This window comes from Homo sapiens, chromosome 3 (genome assembly GCF_000001405.40).
Source record: "Homo sapiens chromosome 3, GRCh38.p14 Primary Assembly".
NCBI lineage: Eukaryota > Metazoa > Chordata > Mammalia > Primates > Hominidae > Homo > Homo sapiens.
Genome location: NC_000003.12, coordinates 180,126,237 through 180,136,256, shown reverse-complemented (window position 1 = coordinate 180,136,256; position 10,020 = coordinate 180,126,237). Strand labels below are relative to the sequence as shown.

Here is a 10,020-nt window from a genome sequence, read left to right as displayed (position 1 = left end):
GAGACAGGTCTCAGTTAATTTAGAAAGTTTACTTTGCCAAGGTTAAGGATGTGTGTCTGTCACACAGCCTCAGAAAGTCCTGTTCACATGTGCCCAAGGTGGTCAGAGCACAGCTTGATTTTATACATTTTAGGGAGACATGACACCAATCAATATATGTGAAATGAACATTGGTTCAGTCCGGAAGGCAGGACAACTTGAAGGGAGGAGGCTTCCAGGTCACAGGTAGGTGAGAGACAAAAGGTTGCATTCTTTGGAGTTTCTGATTAGCCTTTACAAAGGACGCAATCAGATTTATCTCAGTGAGCAGAGGGATGACTTTCAACAGAACGGGAGGCAGGTTTGCCCTGAGCAGCTCCCAGCTTGAATTTTCCTTTTAGCTTAGTGATTTTGGGTATCAAAGATATTTTTCTTTCACAACAGTAAAGGGACACTAACAACATTATTTACCTCTGTCCATTACCCCTCAGTGTTAGAGGTGTAGGGTTGAAAGGAACTTTCTTTCCATTCCCTGAAGATCTGGTAATTTGAGTGGACAAAGAAACTGACAATAGACAGATTAATGGGAGAAAAAGCATACAAATGTATTAATGTGCAAGTACACCACATCACACAAAGTATGGAAATCAAAGAAAGACCAGTTGATTGAAGGTAAAATATCCTCTTCATAGGGGAGAGGGAAGTAGGGGTTGTAGGCAATTTTAAAGGAAGAGTAAATTATGTTTGGGGTGAGAATGGGCCTGAAGAACAGACAATAGCCTGGGACAAATTTTATCTGGGCTCCAGGTGTGGTGTCAACTGTAATCTTCCCTTCTTCGAGTTAATGTTCTATGTTTGATGAGATTATATATAGGGAGGATGTCCCAGAAAACTGCATTTCTTCTGGAGGAACCTCCTTCAGTCAGGTAAGGGAACTTCAGAGAAAGTTTCTTCCTGTGCTTTGGGAGAGGTAGAGGGGTGAGAGACGGATGTGGGAGAGGGCCAGAGAGCCTGATTCTGAGGCTGCTTCTTAAAAGCTCAAAGTCCTCAGCATGTCAAAGTGCCCTACTCTGGCATATCATTTTCTAAGCTCCAGCAGGGGTGAGATAGGTGCTGCTCTGCAAGTCACATTACTACATTTGTACCTTCTACATCCAACTGTGGAGTGGATCAGTCTCAAATATCCACAAAATTGTGGACTATACAGGTGGAAGGATGTAGCTTCCCATTGTGTTTGGATCAAACTCTGTTAGAGGCACCCTTTATTTCCATCAGGCCTGCAGAGAGGAAGTAACCTATAGTAAAGTACTTCTCAGTAACAAAACAATCCACACAATATGTAGTATAGTGAGCTAATTGACACCAGGCTTTTGAAGAGCTTGTTTACAGGAGTGGGCTAAAATTAACACAAGCCTGGGGAGTTTACCTACAGCTTAAGTAAACAAATAAGATTCCTTATATCAATATATTACCTAAGATTTATGGTTATTGCAAGCCTCACAATTAGGTATTTTTTCCTAAGATATTTTGTAAACTTTGTAGTTAAACAGTGGAATATCCCAGAGAGCTTCTTGTTCTTCTTAAGTATGGAAAAAAGAGAAACTGTGATCATGGTAACAAGAAACAAGATAAATAGTTTTAAAATTGCATAAGATATTTGCCACAATTATCTAGCCTCAAAGAATCTCTTCATTCTTTGTAGTTTTATGGTCCTGGAAATGTTAATATTTATTATTCTTTTTTTTTTATCTTGCTACAAAGGGCAGTAAAGCTCTAGAATTTTCAGACTTATTTTTTGTCAACAAGATTATTTTTTTCCAAGGGTTTCTCATCAAATCCCATTATTATCTATAAGTAATTTTAATTTTAACCACAGCTAATTCCATTTTTGGTTCTTACAACTTTGATTCCAAAATGGAAAATTATTTGATAACAGGTAAGTAAAAGAAAAATCTGTAGATGGCTAACAGCAAACATGAAGAGTCCCTCAAGTGAAAACTAAAGTGACTCCTGGACAAATGTCTTTTGGACACTTTAGGGAAAAAAAAGTTAAAGTTTTATTTATTGAAAAATTGTCAGAGCTTTTCATATGGTAATGTTCATTATGAATCTCTAAAAGAAGATTAAATCATATAAGCTTTTCAAGGTTATACGATTAAAAATATTCTTTTTTTTTTGTCCGGGCGCGGTGGCTCATGCCTGTAATCCCAGCACTTTGGGAGGCCGAGACGGGCGGATCACGAGGTCAGGAGATCGAGACCATCTTGGCTAACACGGTGAAACCCCGTTCCTACTAAAAATACAAAAAATTAGCCGGGCGTGTTGGCGGGTGCCTGTAGTCCCAGCTACTCGGGAGGCTGAGGCAGGAGAATGGCGTGAACCCGGGGGGCGGAGCTTGCAGTGAGCTGAGATCACGCCACTGCACTCCAGCCTGGGGGACACAGCGAGACTCCGTCTCAAAAAAATATATATATTCTTTTTTTTTCTTCTTTTCCTTAGAAGATTTTTCTCAACTTTTTTCCTGGATAGTAAACAGAGAGAAATCATCAGTTACCTTGCTATCAAATGTGGTACATGGACCAGTGAGAAAGGAGAGCGGAAGGAGCAAGTTAGGCAGATATTTAGGACAAGTCCTCAGAAGAATTATTTTCTAACAAAAAGAGCAGCCTGGAAGATCAAGCTACAAGCACAGATAAAAAAGCAAGGTCCAACATTAAAAAAAAAAAAAAAAAAGCCTTCTGTGAAGCCAGTAAGTTTCACGATATACACGGTGGGCTTCAGTGTGCATTTCCCTTTCCTTTTTGGGGCATACTCAGATAAGGAAACTTGTACAGGGGGTTTTGCCTAAAACATGCCTGCAGATGCACAGATAAGATATACAGAACCAGGCATGTCCACAGTTAAAAATTCCGCCCCCTGACACATGCACGGTAAGGGAGGTTAAACAACATGGAGTAACTCAGGCTAAGAGCCCGCATGTGCACTAGAGGGACAGGGTGGAACTGTCAGGAATTTACACCCTATACAAATGAAACACTTAGTCCTGATGAGTTTTTTTTTTTTTTTTGCCTTATGCAAATAAAGCATCTTGGCCCACCAGCCTGTTTATAAAAGTCCTTGTATTCAACGTAAAATGGCAACCCTCTTTCTAGCCCCCTCTCTGCAGTGGAGAACTTTCTTCTTTCTCTTATTAAACTTTCACTGCAACTTCATCCTTGGTGTCCATGCTCCTTAAATTTCTTGGTCGTGAGACAAAGAACTCCAGGTGATACCTCAAACCATGAGAGACTGCCACATTGTGGTGCATTGACAAGACTGTAACAGCAGCAGCACCAGCATCACTCACTATCTTAGAAAGGCTTAGTATCAGGCCCCACCCAGATCTACTGACCAGCATCTGCAAGATTTCCAAGATGACCCTTTGCATATTCAAGTTCGAGAAGACTTGGACTAAAAGATAATTCTGAAACCAAGGTGACAACACATATGTTTAGATACGCGTATTGCATAAATCTCTTTCTGGAATGTGACTTTCATGACAATAGAAATTATTTTGCTCACAAATGTATCCCATGTACCAGAACAGTGTTTGTGGAACATTATAGGTATTATGTGCTCTATAGTATTAATGAAACATTACCTTGATTTGATGCCTCACGGATTGGGACATGGGCTTGGGGAGAAGAAATGATGGTCTTTCCAGAAAGCATCACTTCAGAGTAACTTTCAGCTTCCAAGATAGACAATAGATTCATTGCAGACATTATGGAGGATAGTTGAAAAATCTGGCTATGGAAAAACAACTAAAAAATATTCATTTTATAGGTGATGGAAGTAATATTTTTTGCAAGTATTTTATAATTCTAATACCTAGAATGACTGTGTTTTAAACACTCAGAAGTGTTCTAGCAACTTCCGAGTTCTCCAAAATCAGTTTTCTCTTACTCATTGAGGTTGTCTTTCTGAAATGGTTTCTTTGGTGTGTGATTTTCACTCTGGGCCTCTTTTTTTTAAATCTCAGAGTCACATTATTGTATATTGAAAGACTTAAACTTCCACATGGCCTCTAACACTAATGTGATTTGCAATTAAGCTTCTAATGATCTTTGTAAATTGAGATCACTGATTTAACTCCTATTAAGGGTAATTTTGGAACAGCTTTGATATAGAATTATATAATATGGACACACTTCCTGACTTAATAATGTGGAGCTTTAATAGCTAAAAATACTATAAACTATAATTCAATATAGATGTATAGTTAATGGAATCGAGGGCATCTTCATAGGATGCAAATGCGGTATTGCTTAGATAGTTCTGAGGACACAGTGAAGAACCTTCTTCCCTCTGCCATCACCACAAAACAGTTGCTTATAATTTTAATAGACTCAAACTTGGCCATTAGTAACTACTAAAGAAACCCAACCTTTTACCTCTGGCCTTACATTCTCTTCCAGTGTCTGTCTTTTCCAGTTACTCCCTCAATACTCTATGGTCTGTCCTTCTGGCTGCTTGACATTTCTCAGAAGTATTTCATTCCTGTGGGCCTTCTCTCAACTTATTCCCCTGGAATACTCTGCCCACTTTTCTCTCTGCTTTCTTCTCTGTCTGGTGAATTCCTATAAGCCCTTCAGAGCATAGGTCAACCATAACTCTAGAAAGACTTCCTTGACTTCTCAGGCTAAACTACTACTACTGCACTATGTAGTTATCTCTCTTCCAGATAAATCATTTATTATGTCTCTTGGAGAATGTGTTGGATTCTTGTCTCACTACATATACCAAAGTAGGTCTTGCTAGATTATTAACTGTTCAGGGATGGGTGTGTCAGATTTTTTATCTACATATTTCTAACAATTAGCATAATAGAATTCAGTTATTCAACAATAAGCATCTTAAAGAGTTCAGTGAATGAAATGCAGTGAATGAATGAATAATCTAAACCTAACAGAATGTGAGCAATGCAATTTTTCTAAGCAAGGCATATTCAAATGCAAATTCATATGTCATTGCTTTCTTCCTTCAGTGTTTAAATTCTTTAAGTGGTCTAATATAATAATAATTGTCATGCGCGTCCGTATGAAGAGACCACCAAACAGGCTTTGTGTGAGCAATAAAGCTGTTTATTTTACCTGGGTGCAGGCGGGCTGTCCGAAAAAAGAGTCAGCAAAAGGTGGTGAGATTATCATTAGTTCTTATAGGTTTGGGATAGGCATACAAAGTACATTCTTAAGGGCGGGGGAGAATATATAGTATTAATTAGGGTGGGGCAGGAACAAATCACAATGGTGGAATGTCATTAGTTAAGGCTATTTTCACTTCTTTTGTGGATCTTCAGTTGCTTCAGGCCATCTGGATGTATACGTGCAGGTCACAGGGGATATGATGGCTTAGCTTGGGCTCAGAGAACTGACAGTAATAACCACAATTTATCAAGCATACATCATGAAGCAGGCACTATGCTAGGTAGTTTGATGCAGATACAAATTCCTTTTTCTGTAGTACTTATGGCTGTCTCTAATTAAAAAACAAAAACAAAAAAATTAAAAGCTTCCTTGAGTACATAAGCAGTCCTCTGTCTCACTTATCACCCCTTTCTTTGATTCACACACACTCTTTTTTCACAATTTAAAACATGACAACAGTTTATCTTCTACAGCTCTTTCCTATGTATTAATTTTCTTTCTGTAATTACACTGGGAACCCTCTCAGAAGCAATATCTTGTACATTTTTGATGTTCTATTTCTTTCCCCATCCTGCTCCAATCTCCATCAGAATATTAATCACTAAGGAGGGATTTAACACATATTTGAGCTTTGAGATACTTTGTTCCTCTTTTCCTCACCTCTCTTTTTTTTCCTTTTATTTTCTCCCTTGGAATCATACTTAATACTTAACTGCCTTTAAGTATTGCAACATTGAAGCAGTCACGTAGGGATGTGCTCACTGTTGGTTGCTGCACTTCAACACCATGATTTACACCTGTTGTCCTGCTATAATAATTATTAATGGTGCATCCTTTCATACTCAAAGATGTCCCCATTGGGATGATAAGTTATATGGTCATCCTAACGATAGGAATAAAAATGCTGCAGAAAATTGAACAGAAAATCACAGGCTAGAAAAGTGTTCTATCACCTAGGTAACTACACAAGAGGATGCAATGTAGACATAGCAGTTCTGAGATTATTTTTATGTAATATAAACTGTTCCACAGCACAGAAAAAGATAAGACAATTTTCAACTCATATTATACATAATGCAAAAAACTGGCAAGAATAGCACAAAAAAAGAAAAATATGGGTCATTTTCACCTACATATATAGATCCAGAATTATATAAAATAATAACTAAACTATGACAAAACAATATTTTATGCTTAAGGAATTATTCAAGATTGAAAGAATGATCTAATATTAAGGTGTCTATTAAAGTAATTCACTACTTCGATATGTTAAGGATATTAAGCACTTAACAGTCTACCTACTCTTGGTAACAATTCTCTTTTAAGTGGACATCTTAAGGACACTTGAGAAAAACTTACTAGTAAAATATTTTTAAACTATTGTGGTGTAGAGCTGGGGAGGAAAAAATATATATAACTGGATCTTTCCTCATATTTCTACTACAGAATGAGAGCCTTAATCTGATTAAAAGGCAACAAGCACCCTGCTCTTAGGACATTGTTAAACACTGTTAGATATGAGTTCTAAATTTCTCTTCAAAGAATCAATATGTCAATATGTTCAATTCTTTGCCTTCTTCTTTTAAACTTAACTTCCTCATAAAGCAACCTTTTTTGATTACCTGCTCTACCCTGACTCATTCCAATCACCTGCTCATTCTCCACCCTGACTCATTCCTATTTCCTGCTCTGCCGTAACCATTTTTCCCACCAAACCACTCACCCTGTCGCTCTTTAAATTAGCCAATTGGAATTAGTTTAGCCTGTGCAGTCTAACCCTAGCCAATAGGGGAACAACACAGAAGCAGGGGCCATGTGCGTCAGGGATAAGAACCCCTTCCCTTCCCTTGTCCAAAGTGCATGCTCACCATTGCTCCATCTGTAAGGGCGCACCCTTCTATAGAAGTACATTGCCTTGCTGAGAATTAAAAAGAAGATTTTATATTCAAGTGCTATTCCTTTTGTGGCACCGAAACTTTATTTATAACAACACTCATTACAGCTGGGGAAAGGGAATGGGAAAGTAAAACCTGTTTCTGGAGTAGGGACAAGATAATGTCCCAAACTCACAATACTGCCAGAGGAGAGACAAGAGAATTGAGAAGTCATACCCCCAAGACTTAGTGACATCAGACAATACTAAAACTGAGGGTTATTCAGATAAACAGAGACTATACCCTCTCACAACCATCACTGCCCAATGTCAGCTAAACAAGCTTAGAAAAATGAGTAACAGCAGAGAAATACTGCAAGAGGAACAAAAGGGCATGCAAAGTTACCCTCTCTGAGGCAAAGTACAAAGGGAAGACTTAAAACTTAGACTCAATAAGACATTCCTTCGATAATCCAGCCCACACCCTGACACAAAGTACAGTTCACCTTTGAACAGTGTGGGGGATAGAGGCGTTAACTCCCTCCCCCCCCATGCAATTGAAAATCTGCATATAACTTTTGACTCCCCAAAAACTTAACAACTAATAGCTTACTGTTAATAAGAAACCTTACCAATAACATAAACAGTCAATTAATACATATTTTATGTATTACACTGTATTCCTGCAATGAAGCCACAGAAAAGAAAATGTTATTAAGAAAATCATAAGGAACTGTAAATATATTTATTATTTATTAAGTGGAAGTGGGTCCTCGTGTTGTAGGATTTGTTAAGAACTTATTTTAGGCAGATAGAAAAATGGGTCCTTAGGAAGTTTTCATTTTTAAAGCTGCTCCAGGAAAGTTTCCTGTAAAGCCCCGGCTCTTAGAGCCAACCTGGCAACCTTTGATATGCAAATGCAAGCCATTAGAAACTGGGTCCACCCAACATGGTGATTCCCATGGCCTTCTTGCCCTTGCCCCACATGTTCCTGGCAACATGGCCACCCCCACATATCCCCACGTGGGTAGAACATCATGGTGCCCTGCATTTGCTTTTTTTTGGGGGGGTGTGGGGGATAAGTCTCACTCTGTTGCCAGGCTGGAGTGCAGTGGCACCATCTTGGCTCACTGCAACTGCCACCTTCCGGGTTCAAGTGAGTCTCCTGCCTCAGCCTACCGAGTAGCTGGGACTACAGGCAGGCGCCACCACCCCCTGCTAATTTTTATATTTTTAGTAGAGATGGGGTTTCACCATGTTGGCCAGGATGGTCTCAATCTCTTGACCTCGTAATCTGCCCACCTCAGCCTCCCAAGCATTTGCATGTTAAAAGGCTGTGGTGGGAGGTGCCAGCTTTTTCACGGGCTATGCAAATGACATGCCTAGTCAAACCAATCCCCTGAGCCCTATACAAATCAGACACTCACTCCTCCAGCCTCTGTGTATATACCTGGCTGGTATCCCTGGCAGGTGGGGACCTCCTCTTTAAGGTTTGGAAACCCCCTCCCTCTGTCTCTGTACAGGGGAGCTTCTTCCTTCTTTCTTCTCTCTTCTGTCTTGCCTATTAAACTCTCCACTCCTTAAAACCACTCCACGTGTTTCTGTGTCATTTTATCTAAACCGGCATGAGGACCAAGAATCTGGTGTTCCTCCACTCATTGGAGCCATATCACTCATCAATGTCTTCATCCTTGTCTCATCACATTGACTAGGCTGAGGAAGAAAAGGAAGAGGAGGGGTTGGTCCTGCTCTCTCAGGGGCAGAGGCAGAAGAGGTGGAGGAAGTGAAAAGGGAGGCAGAAGAAGCAGGCGTACTTGGTGTCGCTTTGAGGAAATACATTGTAATTTCTGTCTTAATTGTTACTTTTTAATTTCTCTAAAAATGTTTCTATATGCAACCAATCCTTCCTCACCATCTGCTTTAGTTTCAGCACCCATATTACAGAAGGGTCAATGTCTTTAAAAAAAGTCAGTCAGTCCTTAATAATTGAAACCCTTCTTCCAGATTGATTAATGTTGAATATTTTTTCTGGCACTGCTTCTTCTATGTCTTCTTTCTCATCATCTGGCACTGGTTTGGAAGCATTCACCTCCATCAAGTTTTCTTCTGTTAATTCCTCTGGTGTGGTGTCTATTAGCTCTTAACTTTCTCCATATCTTGAAACACTTCACCTCCACAAACTTTTTCTTTCCATATCCACAATCTCTTTCATGATTTTCTTGATTGGCTCTGTTGTAAATTCTGTGAAGTCATGCACCATATTTGGACACAACTTTCTGCAGCAGGAATTTATTGTGTGGGGAATGATGGCTTTTATGGCTTTTTCCATAACAATGATGGCATTTTCAAGGTGTAATCCTTCCAGACATTCATGATGTTCTCTCTATCAGAGTTCTCTTCCATAGCATTAACAATCCTTTCCAAAGAGTACTGTATACAATGAGTCTAAAAGGTTCTTATAAACCCCTGATTTAGAGGCTGAGTTAGAGGTGTTGTGTTTGAGGGCAAGTAGACAACTTCAACATCTTTGGTGTTGAACTCATGGGGTTCTGGGTGACAAGAGTATTGTCCAATATCAAAAGAACTTTAAAAGCCAGTCCCTTACTGGCAAGATACTTCCTGACTTCAGGGACAAAGCATCAATAAAACCAATTCAGGAAAAAAGGCTGTCATTTTTCAGGCCTTCTTGTTATACTACCAAAAGACTGGCAGCTGGTATTTATCTTTTTCCTTTAAGGTTCATGGGTTAGCAGTTTTATACATAAGGGCAGTCTTGATTATAAACCTGACTGCATTTTCACAAAACAGTAGAGTTAGTCTATTCCTTTCTGCCATAAATCCAGGTGCTTGCTTCTCTTCTTTGATAATAAATGTCCTTTATGGCTTTTCTTTTTTCCCAGAATAGGGCACTTTCATCTGCATTGAAAACCTGTTCAGGCAGACATTCTTTCTCCTTAATGATTTTCTTAATGATGTCTGGGA

At 39.1% G+C, this 10,020-nt stretch overlaps 1 annotated feature.

Annotated features, from left to right (window-relative positions):
* Nucleotides 1,095–1,596: an enhancer, noted in NCBI's record as "NANOG hESC enhancer chr3:179852449-179852950 (GRCh37/hg19 assembly coordinates)". NCBI's record gives its function as "activates a minimal SCP1, AML or CMV promoter by ChIP-STARR-seq in naive H9 embryonic stem cells {active_cell/tissue: H9 hESC(naive)}" and the evidence as "EXISTENCE:reporter gene assay evidence [ECO:0000049][PMID:30033119]".